The sequence below is a fragment of the Homo sapiens genome, chromosome 2, assembly GCF_000001405.40.
Source record: "Homo sapiens chromosome 2, GRCh38.p14 Primary Assembly".
Lineage (NCBI taxonomy): Eukaryota > Metazoa > Chordata > Mammalia > Primates > Hominidae > Homo > Homo sapiens.
The window spans coordinates 89,249,180-89,270,173 of record NC_000002.12 but is presented as its reverse complement, the minus strand read 5'-3'; the positions used below and the strand labels follow the sequence as shown (position 1 = coordinate 89,270,173).

The 20,994-nt window shown below is 39.7% G+C and overlaps 2 pseudogenes, 1 gene segment (V, D, J or C) and 1 further gene, besides 6 other annotated features; 3 read left to right on the top strand and 1 right to left on the bottom strand.

The window, feature by feature from the left end:
- The window catches only part of IGK (immunoglobulin kappa locus), a 1,378,008-nt gene that overhangs the window by 965,195 nt on the left and 391,819 nt on the right, over positions 1-20,994 (bottom strand).
- Positions 1,699-1,753: a sequence feature (IGKV1-33 leader sequence).
- Positions 1,699-2,173, top strand: IGKV1-33 (immunoglobulin kappa variable 1-33). The segment is given in 2 exon segments: positions 1,699-1,753; positions 1,878-2,173. Coding segments are annotated over 2 exon segments (351 nt in total), but the record flags the coding sequence as incomplete, so codon positions are not given.
- Positions 1,878-1,888: a sequence feature (IGKV1-33 leader sequence).
- Positions 16,159-16,213: a sequence feature (IGKV1-32 leader sequence).
- Positions 16,159-16,633, top strand: IGKV1-32 (immunoglobulin kappa variable 1-32 (pseudogene); annotated as a pseudogene). Its single transcript is given in 2 exon segments — positions 16,159-16,213; positions 16,332-16,633. Coding segments are annotated over 2 exon segments (357 nt in total).
- Positions 16,332-16,342: a sequence feature (IGKV1-32 leader sequence).
- Positions 17,439-17,477: a sequence feature (IGKV3-31 leader sequence).
- On the top strand, positions 17,439-17,976 carry IGKV3-31 (immunoglobulin kappa variable 3-31 (pseudogene); annotated as a pseudogene). The gene is given in 2 exon segments: positions 17,439-17,477; positions 17,683-17,976. Coding segments are annotated over 2 exon segments (333 nt in total).
- Positions 17,683-17,693: a sequence feature (IGKV3-31 leader sequence).

Here is a 20,994-nt window from a genome sequence, read left to right as displayed (position 1 = left end):
GAATCAGTTTATCTACTTTCAAGATGACACTATGACTCCCGAGTCCTCCAGAAGGAAGGAAGTCCATGTCCTAGCATGACTGAAGAGCAGAAAAGAGAGAGAGAGAAACCCTACTCCCACAAATGGGAAAGAGCAAGGACTCACTCTCAGGAGCCTGCAACCCCCACACCCCAAGCATGGAAAGAATAGAAAATCTTGACTCTCTTCAAAGGAAATTCCAAGCACCTACCTAGCCTTAAGACGTAAGTAAGTAACATGATAAGCAAGGAAGTAAAAACAGCCTAAAATGGCCAAATAAGCTAGACTCAGAAGATGGTGGGTTCCCCTATAGAAACTGAAGGTGACATTTTAGTATATGTCTCTGAGGTGTTTTTGAGGAAACAAGACCCCCTCCAAATGAATCTGCCAGCACACAGATCTCACAAAAGGGAGAACTGGGGACTGAGCTCTGACCATGGTACTTTGTTCTAAATATCTTACAGAGGGGTCTGGTAAAAGTCATATCCATAAACCTGAGCTAATTCGTCTCTTCTGCTGAACCCAAATGTTTAAACAAAGCTTTTCTTCCTTAGCCAATTGTAAATTAGAAGTCTTGTAATCCACCCTTGATCTGTAAGCCCCTGTTTCAAGATATCCTGCCCTTTTAGGCCAAAACCAATATGTGACCTCCATGTATTAATTTTCAATTTGACCTGTAACTTCTGCTTTCCTGAAATTTACTCCTGCCTTAAAAAACCCTTACCTGCAAGCCATCAGTGAGGCCAGGATTTGAATCTTAGCTGCCTGATTCTCTTTACCTGATGCCCTACAAAAAAACAAACAAACAAACAAACAAACCTTTACTTTCTCCTGCTGCAAACTCAGTGTGAATATCTGATCTGACTGAGCTGAGTGAGTGGACTCCAGTTCGGTTCCACAGCACAAGCTCTTTTTATAGTGGCATTTATCCACTCATGAGGGCAGAGCTCTCATGACTTCAACACTTCCCATTAGGCCCCACCTCCCAATTCTGTTGCTTTGAGATAAATTTAAAAACAGATGGGTTTTGAAGGACACAGTGAAACCATAACACTGCCCAAAGAGAGGGCCATTCGAGCCCCTGTGGTCTGCTATGCATGCAGGCAGAGCTGCCTTCTCCAGGTTCAGAAAGAGCAATGAGGGGCATAGATGGCCATTGGAAGTCAGCAGCAGTACAGCGAAAGGGAAAGGCATAGCCTGTAGACAGGGATTGCAATCTTGATATATTTTCTATTTAGTTTCCTTTCTAAAAACAGAATAATTTCATGCTAACAGAAGTGTTGTAAGTACAGCACAAAGTGCTTTCTTCCAATTAAGTGCATATTGTATTTTTTAAAAAATAATCTCCATCTCCATACACGAATAAAATACATTACTCCATCTAGTCCTCAGGAATATTTCGAATTTTGACAATTAACTCAAAAAAGTTCTTTGTAACCAAACAGTCTCCAGGAAGAAACACTTATTTACGGACAAATCTGTGATGCCCTGGTCCGACCTGGGACACTGGGGACATTGCTCCTATGCTGAGTTACTGAGAAGAGCCAGCCCTGCAGCTGTGCCCAGCCTGCCCTATCCCCTGCTGATTTGCATGTTCGCAGAGCACAGCCCCCTGCCCTGAAGACTTATTAATAGGCTGGTCGCACCCTGTGCAGGAGTCAGTCCCAACCAGGACACAGCATGGACATGAGGGTCCCTGCTCAGCTCCTGGGGCTCCTGCTGCTCTGGCTCTCAGGTAAGGAAGGATAACACTAGGAATTTTCTCAGCCAGTGTGCTCAGTACAGCCTGGCTCTTGATGGAAGCCTTCCTATAATATGACTAATAGTATGAATATTTGTGTTTATGTTTCTAATCGCAGGTGCCAGATGTGACATCCAGATGACCCAGTCTCCATCCTCCCTGTCTGCATCTGTAGGAGACAGAGTCACCATCACTTGCCAGGCGAGTCAGGACATTAGCAACTATTTAAATTGGTATCAGCAGAAACCAGGGAAAGCCCCTAAGCTCCTGATCTACGATGCATCCAATTTGGAAACAGGGGTCCCATCAAGGTTCAGTGGAAGTGGATCTGGGACAGATTTTACTTTCACCATCAGCAGCCTGCAGCCTGAAGATATTGCAACATATTACTGTCAACAGTATGATAATCTCCCTCCCACAGTGTAACAAGTCATAACATAAATCACCCAGGGGAGCAGATGCGTGAGGCTCAGCTGTCCCAGATGCCCCTTCTGGTGCCTTCGCCTGCTGAGAATGTTTCTCAAATTGCAGTCACACTTTGAAGTTCACTGGAGAGTTTTTGTAAAAGGGCCATGAAGGCCCACTTCATCGTAGCTGTCTTTCCTTGTCCTAATCCCCAGTATCATAGACAGGGCAATGCCTCTCCTGATTTCATTGAGAAGAAATGGTTACACCTGAGGGGTCTGAGTTGTAGCATCAGTTGGAATTCATGTAGCAATAGTGAGCCACTCTAGGTATTCCAAGTAGGATTTTTTTTAAATATAAGATGTGAGAATCTAAACTACAGCCTTTTAAAGGTTTGCAAGTATAGTAGTCAAAGACGCAAATACTAGAGAAGAGGAATTCTCTTCCGGAATCCAGAATGCATCTGATAGAGAAGGTACAACTGCCAATCATGTGGTCCTCAGACCTTTCTGAGAAGCCCATGGGTGGGGGTGCAGATGCTCTCAGCTGCCTAGAGGACTTCATCAGGTGCTTCTGCAGTCCTCACCTCGGTCCATATGTCTTGCTGCAGGTGTTGATGGATAGTATTGAATCCTCCTCTTCTTACTTCTCAATCTCAGGGCAGGCCCCACACTGGGCAACTCCACCAAAAACCAGAGAAGGCATAGGGTTTCTGGCAAATGTGCTTCCAGAATGATAGTGATGATGGGGAAGTGACAGCTGACATCGTAGTGTGGTCATGTATCTCGACTCTCAGGATTTTTTCAGTGAAGTGATGGCCTCAGAATACACTTGGATGTACTTCCATATACTATGAGTAAGTTTGAAATCATAGCATGAAAATGATATTTAGTCATATGATAAATAGAACTACATGGCTACATTAATCAAAATAGCATAGTGCTGGTACAAAAAGATACACAGACAAATGGAACAGAATAGGGAACTCAGAAATAATGCTGGAGACCTACAACCATCTGATCTTCAACAACCCTGACAAAAACAAGCAATGGGGAAAGTACTCCCTATTTAATAGATAATGCTGGGAGAACTGGCTAGCCATATGCCAAAAATTGAAACTGGACCCCTTCCTTATACCTTACACAAAAATGAACTCAAGATGGATTGAAGACTTAAGTGTAAAACCCCAAACTATAAAAACCCTAGAAGAAAATCTAGGCAATACCATTTAGGACATAGACACGGGCAGAGATTTCATGACAAGAATGCCCAAAGCATTGCAACAAAAGCAAAAATTGACAAATGTGATCTAATTAAACTAAAAAGCCTCTGCACAGCTGAAGAAACTATCATCAGAGTGAACAGACAACATTAAGAATGGGAGAAAAATTTTGCAATTTATTCATCTGACAAAGGTCTAATATCCGGAGTCTATAAGGAACTTAAACAAATTTACAAGAAAAAAAAACAACCCCATTAAAAGGTTGGCAAAGGACATGAACAGACACTTAAAAGAGGACATACATGAGGCCAATAATCATATGAAAAAAAGATCAACATTACTAATCATTGAAGAAATGCAAATCAGAAACACAATGAGATACTATCTCACACCAGTGAGAATGGCGATTATTAAAAAGTCAAAAAACAATAAGTTAGGCAACGTGACTCACACCTGTAATCCTAGCCCTTTGGGAAGCCGAGGTAAGTGGATCACTTGAGGTCAGGAGTTCAAGACTAGCCTGGCCAATATGGCGAAATCTCATCTCTACTAAAAATGCAAAAATTAGCTGGAGGTGGTGGTGGATGCCTGAAATCCCTGTTCCTTGAGGGGCTGAGGCACAAGAATCGCTTGAACCTGGAAGACAGAGGTTGCAGTGAGCTGAGATCATGCCACTGCACTCAAGCCTGGGTGACAGAATGATATTCCTTCTCAGATTAAAAAAAAAATCAAAAAACGACAGATGCTGCGGAGGTTGTGGAGAAATAGGAAAACTTCTACACTGTTAATGAGAATGTAAATTACTTCAACCATTCTGGAAGACAGTGTGGTGATTCTTCAAAGATTTAGAACTGGAAATACCATTTGATTCAGCAGTCCCATTACTGGATATATACCCAAAGGAATATAAATCATTCTACTATAAAGATACATGCATGAGTATGTTCATTGCAGCACTATTTACAATAGCAAAGACATGGAATCAACTCAAATGCCCATCAATGATAGAACAGATAAAGAAAATATGGTACATATGCACCACGGAATACTATGCAGCCATAAAAAGGAATGAGATCATGCCCTTTTCAGGGACATGGATGGAGCTGGAAGCCATTATCCTCAGTAAACTAAGGCAGGAACAGAAAACCAAACACTGCATGTTCTCACATATAAGTGGGAGCCTAACAATGAGAGTACATGGACACGGGAGGAAACGACACACTGAGGTCTGTGGTGGAGGGAGAAGGAGGAAGAGAGGGAGCGTATTAGGAAGAATAGCTAATGGATGCTGGGCTTAATACTGAAGTGATGGGATGATCTGTGCAGTGAACCACCACAGCACACGTCTACCTATGTAACAAACCTGCACATGTGCCCTGGACCTTAAAGTAAAAGTTGAGGAAGAAAAACCATTACATATATATATAAACATTATATATATACACATTATATATATAAACATTATATATATACACTTATATATATAAACATTATATATACACATTATATATATAAACATTATATATACACATTATATATATAAACATTATATATATACATTATATATATAAACATTATATATATACATTATATATATAAACATTATATATATACATTATATATAAACATTATATATATACATTATATATATAAACATTATATATATATATGTGTATGGTTGACTCATATATATATATATATATATATATGTATATGGTTGACTCATATATATATATATATGTATATGTATATGACTTAGCCATAAAAATAAATTTAATAATATCTTTCCCGGCAACTTGCATGGAGGTGGAGGCCGTTATTCAAAGTGAAGTAACTCAGGAATGGAAAACCAAATACCTTATGTCCACACTTATAAGTGAGAGCTAAGCTACAAGTACACAGAGGCATACAGAGTGATCTAATGAACATTGGAGACAGAAGTGGAGAGGGTGGGGGGGGTGAGGAATAAAAAGCTGCATATTAAAAAAAAAAATAGAAATTGCACTAAATAATATAGCAATCATTGGACCAAAAAAAACCTTTGTTGAATACCTGTATGTGTATGTGTGTGTGTATATATACATACACATATATATATAATCTGATTACCTATATATATGCATACAAACACAGACACACACCTATATATACACAAACACCCACACATAAATATTTTATATATAATATATAATATATATACTATATTATATGTTATATATACTATTATAATATATATAATATATATATTATATATTATATATACTATTATTATATATGATACTATTATATATTAATATAATTATATATAATATATATATTATATAATATACTATTATATATTATATATAATAGTATATTATATAATATATATATTATATATAATAGTATTATATATATAATATATATAATACTATTATATATAATATATATAATAGTATTATATATATATAATATATAATACTATTATATATATTATATATAATACTATTATATATATTATATATATTATATATATATAATATTAATATAATATAATATATAATAATATATAATATTAATATTATATATATAATATAATATAATATAATATATAATATAATATAATATATATATTAATAAAATTATATACATATATAATATATAATAGTATATTATATACATATATAATATATACAATATATAATATCATAATATATAATATGTATTATATATATAAAATATGTGTGTGTGTGTCTGTGTGTGTATGCATATATATAGGTAATCAGAACAGGATTTTATAGTATAATATAGATTTATTGAAAATCATTAAGTTCACATTCCATAAATAACATGTGTTCATACATATATATGTGTACATTTGCTTATATGTTTGTATATATATATGTGTGTGTGTGTGTATACACACAGATGTAACATTCTTATTATTTTTTTAATATAAAAACCTTGCTACTCAAAATTTGTCCAGAACCCAGTAGCAACACTAAGAGCATGTTACCAATTCAAAACAGCAAAACCACCTTAGATCAATTGAATGGGAATCTGTATTTTCATAAGATAACAGATGATCCATTGAAGGTTTAAGAAGCTATGTTTTAGGGAATGTTTACTTCAGCTAAGAAATTTTTGTTGTTTTTATCCAACATGTCAATTTAAGAAAATCTGATTAAAGTCACATGTTGAAAACACATCCAATTTTTTTTACTCAATTTGATTTAACTTTAATTAATTTAAGAATAAATTTGCTTTTTTAATGCTGAAGGTTGAAATACTTAATTATTTGTCAGTGACATGATCACATAACTTGAAACTTAATTGGAGAAAAGGTTTTAGAACCTTGAGTAATTGCTAAAGCAAAAGAAGAAACCCACATATTGTATACGTGTGTTGCAGCTGATGGGACTTAAATTTGCTTGTGTAGCTTGACCTCAGGATGTTGTTAACTGCCCTGGCTGATCACTGCTCCTTCAGTCTTGACCCCAATTAAAAAAAAATCCATATATTAGAGATAAGCTCAGCAACCTACAGCACAACCACGCAGCTGAGCCCTGTCTAGATCAGCTAAATTATTGTTAATATGAACATCCGTAAACATGAAAATAAATACTAGTATTGTAAGCCTCTGCATTTTGAGTGGTTTGTTACAAACTATTATTGTTGAAAAGCTAATACATTATTAAACATCCACATATATAGATGCATTTAATGAAAATTGACTGCATAAATATGAATACTTAGAAAATCATAAAGAAACAAAAACATAGAAGAAATAATACTTAAATCAGAAGAAATAAAATACAACTTAGCTCATTTATGGAAACATCTAACAGGAATAGTTAGTATTGAGGATACACATATGTAGCAATACTCAACAGAATAATCAAAATGGAACTTTACATATACACTACAGATTGTTGAAAATCATTAGGTTGACATTCCAGGAATAAAACATATGTTTATACATATATGTGTGCATATGTGCATTTATCTTTTTATATATGATATATGCATTTGCATATATATTTAGACATTGCTTTCTGCATAAACTTATATAAACAGTTATGTTTTAACAAAGTTGTATGACCACATATGTGTGTATATACTCACATACACACAAGCTACAAGCACATATACAAAATTATCACAGTGCCAAGGAAATGTATTTTGGCCCTTCTAGACCCTAGGTTACAGACAGTACTCAGAGGATGGAAGAATTTTAATAAAACAGATATCAAAACATCATGTGAGGCATGCATACATTTTGTTGAAAAATTTTCTTTTTACAGTCACCATTTTCTTTAAAGTTTTATAAAGTGTTGTTGTCTGGTCTCCTTTGTAATTTAGACCTTAGGTTAAATTTGTGACCCATGAGGAATGCTGGATTCTGGACTGAAGGTTTTTGGATTTTGCCATTCATTTTATTTTATGTTCCAGGATACATGTGCAGGATGTGCAGGTTTGTTACATTGGTAAACAGGTGCTATGGTGATTTGCTGCACCTATCAACCCATCACCTAGGTATTAAGCCCAGCATCCATTAGCTATTTTTCCTGGTGCTCTTCTCCTACCCACCCTCCCCTGAAAGGCCCCAGTGTGTGTCATTCCCCTCCTTGTGTCCATGTGTGCTCACTGTTCAGCTCCACCTCTAAGTGAGAACATCTGGTGTCTGGTTTCCTGTTCCTGTGTTAGTTTTCTGAGGATAGTGGTTTCTAGTTTCAACCACGTCCCTGCAAAGGACATGATCTCATTCCTTTTTATGGCTGCATAGTATTCCATGGTGTATATATAAAACATTTTATTTATCCATTCTATCATTGATGGGCATTTGGGTTGATTCCATGTCTTTGCTATTGTGAATCGTGCTGCAATGAACATACACATGCATGTATCTTTATAGTAGAATGATTTATATTCCTTTGGGTATATACCCAGTAATGTGACTGCTGAGTCAAATGGTATTTCCAGTTCTAAATCTTTGAGTAATCGCCACACTGTCTTCCAGAATGGTTGAACTAATTTACATTCCCACCAACAGTTTAGAAGTGTTTCTATTTCCCTGCAACCTCGACAGCATCTGTTGTTTCTTGATTTTTTAATAATCACCATTCTGACTGGAGTGATATGGTGTCTCATTGTGATTTTGGTTTGCATTTCACTGATGATCATTGATGTTGAGCTTTTTTCATGTTTCTTGGCCGCATGTATGTCTTCTTTTGAGAAGCGCCTGTTCATGTCCTTTGTCCACCTTTTAATTTTTTTTATTTTTATTTTTGTAAATTTGTTTAAATTTCTTGTAAATTCTGGATATTATAACTTTGTCAGATGAATAAATTGCAAAAATTTTCTCCCATTCTGTAGGTTGTCTGTTCACTATGATGATAGTTTCTTTTGCTGTTCAGAGGCTCTTTAGTTTAATTAGATCTCATTTGCCAATTTTTGCTTTGTTGCAAATGCTGTAGGCATTTTTGTCATAAAATCTCTTCCTGTGTCTATGTCCTAAATAGTATTGCCTAGATTTTTGTAGTTTGGTGTTTTTTTTTTTTTTTAATTATACTTTAAGTAGTTTGGGTTTTAATAGTTTGGGGTTTTATATTAAGTCTTTAATCCATCTTGCCTTCATTTTTGTATAAGGCATAAGGAAGGGGTCCAGTTTCAATTTTCTGCATATGGCTAGCCAATTCTCCCTGCACCATTTATTAAATAGGGAGTACTTCCCTCATTGCTTGTGTTTTTGTTTTTGTTTTTGTTTTTGTTCTTTTTATCAGGTTTGTTGAAGATCAGATGGCTGTAGATGTGTGGTTTTATTTCTGAATTCTCTATTCTGTTCCGTTGGTCTATGTGTCTGTTTTTGTACTGGTAGCATGTTGTTTTGCTTAGTGTATCCTTGTAGCATAGTTTGAAGTTGAGTAGTATGATGCCTCCAGTTTTGTTCTTTTTGCTTAGGCTTGTCCTGGCTACACAACCTTTGTTGGTTCTATATGAATTTTAATTTTTTTTTTTTTTTTTTGACGGAGTCTCGCCTTGTCACCCAGGCTGGAGTGCAGTGGTGCCATCTCGGCCCACTGCAAGCTCCGCCTCCTGGGTTCACGCCATTCTCCTGTCTCAGCCTCCCGGGTAGCTGGAAATATAGGTGCCTGCCACCACTCCTGGCTCATTTTTTGTATTTTTAGTAGAGATGGGCTTTCACCGTGTTAGCCAGGATGGTCTCGATCTCCTGATCTCGTGATCCGCCCGCCTTGGCCTCCCAAAGTGCTGGGACTACAGACGTGAGCCACCACGCCCGGCCAAATTGTTTCTTCTAATTCTGTGATGAATGTCATGGTAGTTTATTGGGAATAGGATTGAATCTATAAATTGCTTTGGGGAGTGTGGCCATTTTTGCGATATTGATTCTTCCTATCCACCAGCATGGAATGTTTTTCTATCTGTTTGTGTCCTCTCTGATTTTCTTGAACAGTGGTTTGTAATTCTCCTTGAAGAGGTCTTCCACTTTCCTCGTTAGCTGTTATCCTAGGTATTTTATTCTCTTTGTTGCAATTGTGAATAGGAGTTCATTCTTAATTTGGCTATTTGTCTGTTGTTGGTGTGTAGATGCTTGTCAATTGTGCACATTGATTTTGTATTCAGAGGCTTTGCTGAAGTTACTTATCAGCTTAAGAAGCTTTTGGGCTGAGTCAATGGCATTTTCTAGATACAGAATCATGTCATCTGCAAACAAAGATAATTTGAATTTCTCTCTTCCTATTCGAATACCCTTTATTTCTTTCTCTTCCCTGATTGCCCTGGTCAGAACTTCCAATACTATGTTGAATAAGAGTGGTGACAGAGGGGTATCCTTGTCTTGTAATGGTTTTCAAGGGGAATGCTTCCAGCTTTTGTCCATTCAGTATGATATTGACTGTGGGTTTGTCATAAATGGCTCTTATTATTTTGAAGTATATTTCTTCAATACGTAGTTTATTGAAATGAAGTGATGTTGAATTTTATCGAAGACCTTTTCTCCATCTACTGAGATAATCATGTGGGTTTTGTCTCTAGTTCCCTTTATGTGATGAATTATGTGTATATTGAACCAGCCTTGCATCCGGGGATGAAGCCAACTTCATCGTGGTGGATAAACTTTTTGATGTGTGGCTGGATATGGTTTGCCAGTATTTTATTGAGGATTTTTGCATCAATGTTCATTAGGGATATTGGCCTGAAGGTTTTCTCCTTTTTTTTTTTTTTTTAATCTCTGCCAGGTTTTGGTATCAAGATGATTCTGGCCTCTTAAAATAAGTTAGACAGGAGTCTCTCCTTTTCAAGTGTTTGGAATTGTTTCAGAAGGAGTGGTACCAGCTCCTCTTTGTACCTCTGGTAGAATTGAACTGTAAATCCATCTGGTCCTGGGCTTTTTTTAGTTGATAGGCTTTTTATTACTGCCTCGATTTCAGAACTTGTTATTGGTCTATTCAGGGATTCAACTTCTTCCTGGTTCAGTCTTGGGTGTCCCCATTCTTTAGGTAGAAGTGATCCTGATGTTACTTGTAAAGACAACGTTTGCAATATGTTAGGTGTTAATACATTGCTTTTAATGTGTGAAAAAGGAATTCAAGTGTGGGAAAGTGTGTATTGGTGATGTCAAGCCACAAGGGTGGATGGAGATAGAAAAAGATATGTAGTCATGAAAAACGATGAATGTGAACGGGACTGAATTTAGGGATATTATCAACACAGGGAGAGCTGCAGGATAGGAGTCAGATCTCTGGTAGCTGCTGGCAGGGATGCTGTCCTTCTGTGGGCCGTAGTGAGAGGAACAGCTGTCTTCTCTGCAGGAGGCAGTCTGAATATGGGGTCTCAGGCAGTAAGGACTCCTCCGCAGCCTGAATCGGCAGTACAGTTTGTGAGATTGTTCCAGAGGTTTTGCCTGGAGCCTGTTGTTAAGGCTTTCCAACAATTTTTGAGCTATTTAATATCCCATAATGAATCCCTTTATGCTTAGTGCAGTTCACATTTGTAACCAATACTAATGACCACTCCACATTGAGGGCATGGTTGCCCCCTTTTTTCCTGCTAAATTTAATGCTTTCCAGGTGAATCTACTAGAGAAGGCCAACATGAATAACCTTCATGTCATCAAAAGTGCATGACAAATAAGCTCAGGGGAGCCACCGGGTTCTCAGTCATCTGCAGTGTCTCATGACATGAAAAGAGGAGACTGAGGAATCTTCCTGTAATCCTTCAGCCAGTCTTTCTGCAGCCTTAGGTAGGGTCTCCACGTGCATGTACTCATCAGTGCTCTGTGGAATACTGAGGGAGGCATCTGGGGATAGCCTGGGCTCTCTCTGAACTCCCTCCTCTGTTTCTCTGTCTTTCTGGACCTCCAATTCTTTTTCCTCTCTTCAGGGACACTCCCAGGCACCTCATGGATTTCCTTTCACTACACAATGCTCTGGCAACTCTCCTCAGGGTCTCAGATGGATCGTTCCAAATTTCATCTCCTTTGGTTTAAAATCTTCTGGGCTCAATATCCTTAATTTCTAATGTCCAATTTCTTGAAAACATTTGCCTCATGTATTGTGTCCTGTGTTTTAGTTAATCCAGAGAGGAGTGTAAACCTAGTCCATTCTAATCTCTTTTGGCTACAGGTTGAATATCTGGAAGCCTACGTCTGAATTTAAATATTTTTCGCTCCTCAAGGTTCTTCACCAGCACCTGGTAGTGTGAGGATAGCAGGTCGTGCTTTAGGGTTGCAATTGGGACTTTACTGCCATTACCCCATCTCTTGCTTTTTCCACACCACACAAGTTCTCCTGAACACATATACAGACACTTCACACACATTCACATGCCATCCCGCCTCCCAGCAGCAGAAACCTGGCCTCACTTTGTGTCTGAGCGGGGAACGCCTACTGCGTAGCTACTCTCAGAGGAACGAGCCCAGAGAAGGGGCCAAGTCCCTGGAAGTTAGGGTTAGAACATTTGAATTGGTAGTTTCAGGACCCCAAGTATCAGGGTGTGATGTAGAAGAAAATTGGCTCTATATTAGCACAGTCTCAGTCTCTCTCTGTGAAAGACTGGAGGGGAGGAGAGCCTGGTGAGGGCCCTTCACTTCTGGGGCCCAGAGCAAGAGGTCCCTCATGTTGAGTGTGCATGTAGCTTTGATTGATGCATTATTACTGAGACACTCAATAGCTCCATTGAAATACAAGATTGGAGACCTCCAACCAAGATGCTCTGTCAGTGTTGACAGGGCTCCTTTATGATCCAGCAGGCTGTTGAGGGCTCCCTGGCCTTGATGAGTTCGCAGCAGAGCTAGCTTTGTCTCCAGCCTCATCCTCCCTTCCTCTGTGTCTTCCGTGAAACTCGGAGCAATTCCCCAGGTGATGTGATCTTGTCTTCATCCTACTTTGAAGAGAATTGATCCTGAGTGGTTCTGGGGTATTTAAGGTTGTACATTTATCCTAATTCAGGCTTCAGTTTCACAGCTATCCTATTTGGTTGATGAAAGAAACTGTATTTGATTTGATTTTTGTTTTTTTGATAATCAGGTTTGGCATCCTCAGTCAGAACTTTCATGCTGATGAGCTGAGAGAAATAAAGTTACATGGGTCTAGGCACAGTGGCTCACACCTATAATGCCAGCATTTGAAAGGCTGAGACTGGAGGATTACTTGAGCCCAGGAATTTGAGACTAACCTAGGCAACATAGTGAGACCCCATCTCCACAAGAAATGAAAAAATTAGCCAGATGCCGTGGCACACGCCTGTGGTTCTAGCTACTGGGGAGGCTGAGACAAGAGGATTGTTTAAGCCCAAGGGGTTGAGGTTGGAGTAAGCTGTGATCTTGCCACTGCACTCCAGTGTAGGGGACAGAGCAGGACCCAGTCTCAAACAAAACAAAACAAACAAGTTACATTTGTCGTGAGGGGTAGACTATGTAGGTCCCCAAACCAAGAATAGGATGCCCATTTAGTTGATGGATACTAAAGAGACCTGTGTCTTCAGATAATAATTTGTCTGTGAACTACACACCTTTGAGAAAGCACAGTGTTATCTTTGTGCGTCTACAGTAAATTTCCATGTCTTATGGTTGTAACAGGTGTGGCTCAGTGCCATCACAAAATACCTTAGAATAGCTTGGGTATGCTCTTAAGAGCTGCCATTTTTATTTTTAAAATATTGAAACAATTTCACATTTACAGAAAGTTTGTAAGTAGAGTACAAAGTAACACATTTCCCCCTAAACCATTGAGAGTAACTTGATGACCTCATAGTTCCACCCTTTAAGACTTTGCTATGTATTTCCTTCAGACAAGACATTTTCCTACATAACCCAATACATCTGTGGAACCAGGGAATCATCACTGGTGCATCACTCCATCTAATCCTCAAGTGTATTTCAACTTTTGTTAATTGTTCCAATAATGTCTTTTGTAACAAAATGATTCACGGGTTGCCTTTGCTGGCCTGTACCTCCGTAGTTTTCTTCCATCTAGAACAGTTCCAGTGTCCTTGTTTGGACTTTATGAATTTGTTTGAATTTTCTTCAGGATTGAACTCTGTTAGTGTAACTGTTGCGGGAATATCCAGAAGCGATACTGTGCTCTCACTGAATCCTATTGGGATGTGTGTGATTTCCATCTGCCACATGACTGACGAGGTTCAATCTGACTCCTGCTGAAGGGGGTGTCTGCCAGGCTTCTCCCTGCACCTTCACTGTTGTTCTGTTTGAAAGAGATAAGAATTTGTGGAGATGTTCTTGATACTTCATGAATATCCCTCTCCTAATCGAAATATAGACATGGATCCATATTTTCTTCAATGGGTTATACTCTGCTACCATCATCATTTATTTTCATAGTCAACCCTCCTCTGATTTGTCCAATGGGAGCCTCATTCACACTGCCTCTGAATACCTGCTGTTTTTATCCCATCATTCTCTGAGCACTTTTTTAGTTTCTGGCACTAGATGGTACAAGCTCATCTTCCATCTCCCCTATTTTAGACCTGACATCAGCCATTTCTCCAAAGATTACTGATTCCTTTTAGTAGAAATCGGCATTCAGAAAAATAAGATCTACACACTAAATGTGTTCAGTGGGACTGATGTGTCATCGCTTCTAGAGAAAATGAGCTATCTATTATCTATCATTTGTCTATCTATCATCATCATCTATTCATCTATCTTTTTACCTATATCTACATAAACCATGAATTGGCACTGATATAGCTATAATCCAGAGTCATAGAGTTTATTCTAGTACGCGCTTTTAAAATATTTCTAACATTTCTCCCTGGGTACCTTGGCTCTAATTATCCTTACTACACTGACTTATGGGATCAACATCTCTTTGTGACACTAGTCTCCTGCTGTCATTGCCACCTACACGCTCCTTGTAGACAACTTCCCTCTTCTGCCTCACAACCTGCATTAGCCCTGATATGCTTTGCCAGCTCACTGTTAACTTTGACTCCTGCATGGGTGACCTTCTCAATCTACATGGGCCGTTATGCTAGTACCACTGGCTTTACCCCTTTTGAAGGGCCCTGCTCATCCTGCTTCAGCTGTGACATATGTGCTAGTGGGAGGATGTCGCCCCACATCCTGCGCCTATGTGGGGATACCCTCCTCCCTCCACTATAGCTTCAACACCTCTGGTGGTCTTCCCTCTCTACTGCACATCAACTGCCCTTTCCATGCCATGTGGGTTTCACACTCTGTGCAATATTTTGGTTTCCCCTTCATTTTGGTGCATGGTTTTCTTTCTGAACCTACTTTGGTCAAATGCCCTAAACCCAGTCATTAAGAACTGCTTTCTCTTAAAAACTGGAAGAGATTGGTAATATAGAGATATACAGTTTATGGAACAGAGTAGATTCAAGAGTAGATGTGAGCACTGGGTCTAGATAACATCTCAGTTTCCGGAAGATATTAGCTTAAGAATGACGTAAGGCACACATATTAATCCAAGGAGCTCAGGAAACATCTAGCATAGGAATGCATGATGGCACACAGAGGTAGAGAGTAGCTGACACTTTTCAGAAGTGGAGGGAGAAGATTTCTGATGTTGGCCTAGATGAAAGAAGTAGGAAAGAAAATGTAGAAATACAGGAAGATGATCACATGTCTGAGATAAGAGATTTGCCATGTCGTTTACCCAGTGTACAAGGATTACCCAATCCTTGCAAAGCATTACACTACTTTCACATATTTTGTGTTAACATTTTCCTTTTTCTTATTTTTAATAAATAAATCTGTCCTTCTATCCATCCATCTATGTATCCATCCATCTTTCTTATACCTCATCATTGCATCTCTGGCTGATAGTGCTGATGATTTACAACATCAAGGGCTCTAGAGGATCAGAGCAAAGAAGAAGTCTCTCTGGCCTCAATAATATTCATCAGTACCAAACGCGGGACACTTCTAAAATTTATTGCAGATTCTGGAGATGTGCTTCTCCAACAAGCCAGGTCTTAGACGGGAAGCTAGCAAGAAAAGTAGGTCATGACCTACTTCTGCAGAGCAGAAAAGCAATCTCCTTGCAGGACAGTAGACAGATTCTGTTCTGTGGCCCCCAGAGAGAAACTTGTTCTCTGCTAACAAGTGTATGCAGGCCTGATCAATCTTAGGACCCCTGGGGGACACTAGGCCTGTGCAATATTATGCAGGTAAAGTCATTCTTGCATCTGTTGAAATTTTCATTTTCAAAAAAACACAGCCAACTTCCTGAAGACTTGTACACAGGCTGGTCATACCACTTGCAAGAGTCAGTCCCAGTCAAGACACAGCATGGACATGAGGGTCCCTGCTCAGCTCCTGGGGCTCCTGCTGCTCTGGCTCTCAGGCAAGGAAGGAGAACACTAGGAATTTACTGAGCCAGTGTGGTCAGTACTACCTGGCTATTCAGGAAAGTCCTCTCATAACATGGTTAATAGTGTTAATAGTTTTGTTTCCCATCTCAGGTGCCAGATATGACATGCAGATGACCCAGTCTCCATCCTCGCTGTCTTCCTGTCTAGGTGAGAGTCACCATCACATGCCAGGAAAGTCAGGCAGGGCATTAGCCATGTTTTAGCCTGATACAAAGAGAAGCCAGGGAAAGCTTCTGAGCTCCTGATCTACGATGCATCCAATTTGCAAACCTGGGTCCCATTGCAGTTATGTGGCATTGGATCCAGGACAGATTTGATTCTCACCATTAGCATCCTCCAGTCTGAAGTTGCTGCAACTTCTTATTATTGGTCAACAGTATAAAAGTGACCCTCTCACAGTGTTACAAACCCAATAAGCTCCCCAAGGAAGCAGATATGTGAGGGTGGGCTGCCCCAGCTGCTTCTCCTGTTTCCTCCATCTGCTGAGAGTGTTTCTCAGACTCAGCCACACTCTGAAGGTCACTGAGCAGTTTTCATAGAAGGGGTAAGGGAAGTGTCTCTACACCCTTAGTTTCTTTTATCCTCCTCAGCCCCAGCAGCAGACATGGCAATGCCTCTCCTAATTTCATAGAAGAGTCATTACCTATGAGGACTCTGGGTTACAGCACTGGTCCAGGTTCATACAACAAAAGAGAAGCTATTGTAGGTAACCCAAATAGAAAGTTTTTCCTAATATGGGAAATCCATGTCTAAATTACAACTTTTCAAAGACCAGAGGATATAATGGTTAGGAAACCAGAAAGGCAAAAGGAGTGCTGGGAAATCTACTTCAAGAAGCAATGGTGGCCGCGCACAGTGGTTCAGGCCTGTAATCCCAGCACTTTGGGAGGCCGAGGCAGGCGGATCACCTGAGATCAGGAGTTCAAGACCAGCCTGGCCAACATGGCGAAACCCCGTCTCTACTAAAAATACAAAAATTAGCCGGGCATAGTGGTGGGTGCCTGTAATCCTAGCTACTCAGAAGGCTGAGGCAGGAGAATCATTTGAACCAGGCAGGTGGTCTCTGCAGTTTCGAAGCCCAGCGCCATCTGTGGCTGTTATGCATGTCTCTCCCAGCCACCCTGCTGTCCAGAGCCCATATCAATCCGTGGGGGTAGGTCTGTGAAAGAGCAGCTCAGTTAGGACCCAGAGGGAACCATGGAAGCTGCAGCTCAGCTGCTTTGATTCTTGTTACTCTGGCTCCCAGGTGCAGGAAACACCGGATGGTTCTGCATGTCAGTGAAACTTTCTCAACCTTGTTGAGTCCTGTTACCTGGCACACCTGCTGGGAAGGCACAATGATTAAAGCTCAATGTAGATCAATGGTCCTGGATGCACTGGGAAGACAATAGGTATGATGTAGTGTACGTGTGTGACATTTCTGTTTTTATTCCAATTTCAGATACCACCAGAGAACTTGTGATGACAGTCTCCAGCCTCCCTGTCTTTATCTCTAGGGGAAAAAGCCACCCTCACCTACAGAGCCAAGTAGACTATTAGCAGCTCCTTAGCAGGGTATCAGTGGAAACCTGGACAGGCTCTCAGGCTCCTCATCCATGGTGCATCCACCAGGACCACCAATGTCCCAGCCTGGTGGAGTGGCAGTGGGTTCGGGGAAAACTTCAGTCTCATTATCAGCAGGCTGGAGCATGAAGATTTTGCACTTTAACACTGTTATCAGCATAGTGGTGGGTATTCCACAGTGATTCCACAGGAAACCAAACCTCCACAAGACAGCTGGTGTTTTTTCCTCAAGCCTTCTGTTTACTTATGGGAAGCTACTATGGTGGCTGCTTAGTTATTGAGAGAAAACAATGGAGACTTCAATAAATAGAAGTTTATACCACATTCATGCATTATAAAACTTAATATTGTGAGTAACATAATTCTCCCTTAATTAATTCAATACAGTGACAATTAAAATCCCAGAGGACTTTTGTGAAATTGAAATGATGTTTCATATATATATAGTATATATATATATATATATATATATGTACTCACATACCACGCACTATATATATATATATATACACACACACTATATATGGTGTATGTATATATATAGTGATATGTATGTGTATAATATATATATAGAGAGTGTGTGTGTATATATATAGATACATACATATCACACATGCATTTAAAAAGGACAAAAATAGCCATTGGAATCTTGCATAAGAATAACAGGTCGGGCTGGGCGTGGTGGATCACTCCTGTAATCCCAGCAATTTGGGAGGCTGAGGTGGGCAGGTCACCTGAGGTCAGGAGGTTGAGACTAGCCTGACCAATATGGAGAAACCCCATCTCTACTAAAAATACAAAATTAGTCAGGTGTGGTGGCACATGCCTGTAATCCCAGCTACTCAGGAGGCTGAGGCAGGAGAATCATTTGAACCCGGGTGGTGGAGGTTGCAGTGAGCTGAGATCGCACCATTGCACTCCAGCCTGGGGAACAGAGCCAGAATCTATCTCAAAAAAACAAAAACAAAAAACAACAACAAAACAAAACAAAAAAAGAATAACAGGGCAGGCATGGTGTCTCACGCCTATAATCCCAGTACTTTGAGAGGCTGAGGCAAGTGTATCGCTTGAGGTCAGGAGTTAGACCACCCTGGCCAACATGGTGAAACCTTGACTCTACTAAAAAAATACAAAAAATTAGCCAGGCATGGTTGCACATTCCTGTAGTCCCAGCTGCTTAGGAGGCTGAGACAGGAGAATCGCTTGAACCCAGGGGGCAGAGGTTGCAAATGAGCCAAGATCATAGCACTGAACTCCAGTCTGGGTGACAGAGCAAGACTGTCTCAAAAAAAAAAAAAAAAAAAAGAACAAAATTGAAGGAATAACACCAGGCAATATCAAACCCTGTTACAAATAACACTAATTAATAATGTAACTACAGATCCGCACATATGTAATCACCCAATTTATGATAAAAGTGTTACCACGGGCCAGGCACAGTGACTCATGCCTGTAATCCCAGCACTTTGGGAGGCTGAGGTGGGCAGATAACGAGGTCAGGAGTTCGAGACCAGTCTGACCAGCGTGGTGAAACCCCATCTCTACTAAAAGCACAAAAATTAGCCAGGCATGGTGGCACATGCCTGTAATCCCAGCTACTCAGGAGGCTGAGGCAGAAGAATCACTTGAACCTGGGAGGCAGAGATTGCAGTGAGCCAAGATCGCACCACTGCACTCTAGCCTGGGTGACAGAGACTCCGTCTCAAAAAAAAAAAAAAAAAAAAGAAAAAAACACTGTTACCATAGATGATGCATACTGAAAGAGAAAAATATCTTGGTCAGGTAATTTAAAACAAGAGACATGTACTTTCTCACAGTTCTGAAGGCTGGGAAGTCCAAGGTCAAGGCACTGGCAATCTTTTTGTACCATGAGGGCTGCTCCAGCTTCCAAGATGGTGGCTTGTGGCTGTGTCCTCACGTTGTGGAGGTGGAAGGGCAAAAGAGACAAATTCTGTGTGAAGCCACTTTTATTGGGCGTTCATCCCATTCACCGGGGTGGAATCCTCATGAATAATCAGCTCCCAAAGGCCCCACTTTGTAATCCTGTTGCATGGGGTAAACAGGAATCTTGGATGAGATGCAGACATTCAGACCAGAGCAGTGATCAGTAGAAAAATATATAATAAGTGAACTGTATTGGATCAATAAGATATCTATATTACATCAAAATGAATCCTGACCTCTATATTTCACCTCTATATTATATAAATATCAACTCTAAATGAATCATAAAATGAAATATGAAGGCAAAATAATAAAGCTTTTAGTAAAGAGCATAAAAACATATATCATAAACAGGTGCAGAAATAAATTTCTTAAAGAGAACACACAAAGCACTAGGCACAAAGACAAAGATTCATGAATTAGGTTTTATTTGTATGAATTCCTTCTTATAGGGTTTTAAACAAATAAATTAAAAATATTATTTGATGAATACATATAGAAGAAATTAACAGAGAGGAAAGTCAAATTATAAAGAATATGAGATTCAGAATTCTGATTAACTGTGGGGGGAGATAGGCATATGGCATCGTGGAAACCCCACCCAGAGATCACACTTTTAGAGGAACCTGTAGAATGGTAGGCCTTGTGACAGCCATCTTGAAGGATATAACTGGCATCAGTCAACCCTGTGGCCCAAACAATTCATATCCCTCTTACATGTTAAATGCTCTAATTCTCACCCCATCAAGTCTAAGTATTATTCCATAATAGTGTCAGGGCAAAATTCAAAATATCATCACCAAAATGATGTCCTGGGGACTGATGTTAGCAAGATAGCAGAGTAAGAGATACCAGGCTTCAGCCCTCACAAAACCCAGCAATTAGTCAGTTATCCAAGAAGGCCAATACCCTGGGAGGGCTGAAGAGTTCAATTACAAACATGCAGCAACATGATAGAGTAAAAAGCCAAGAATAAGCACACGCAAAGGATGGCTGGAAGCTGATGGCACACCTGAGAGCCCTGATACCTCTAGGAACAAAGAAAGGGGAAGCAATTGTTATCAGCCAACGGTGGTGCCACTGTGGGCCCCATAGCCTGCTCTGTGGCAGGACCCTGCAGCCTTTGCTGCTGATAACCTCAGCAGCCACCCAGGCAATCCCCCACCATTCAGCTTTCCCAGTGGAGGCCCTTTAATATTTCTTGTCGAGGATCACAGCAGCCTGCTCCACAGGGGCCACTGGTGCT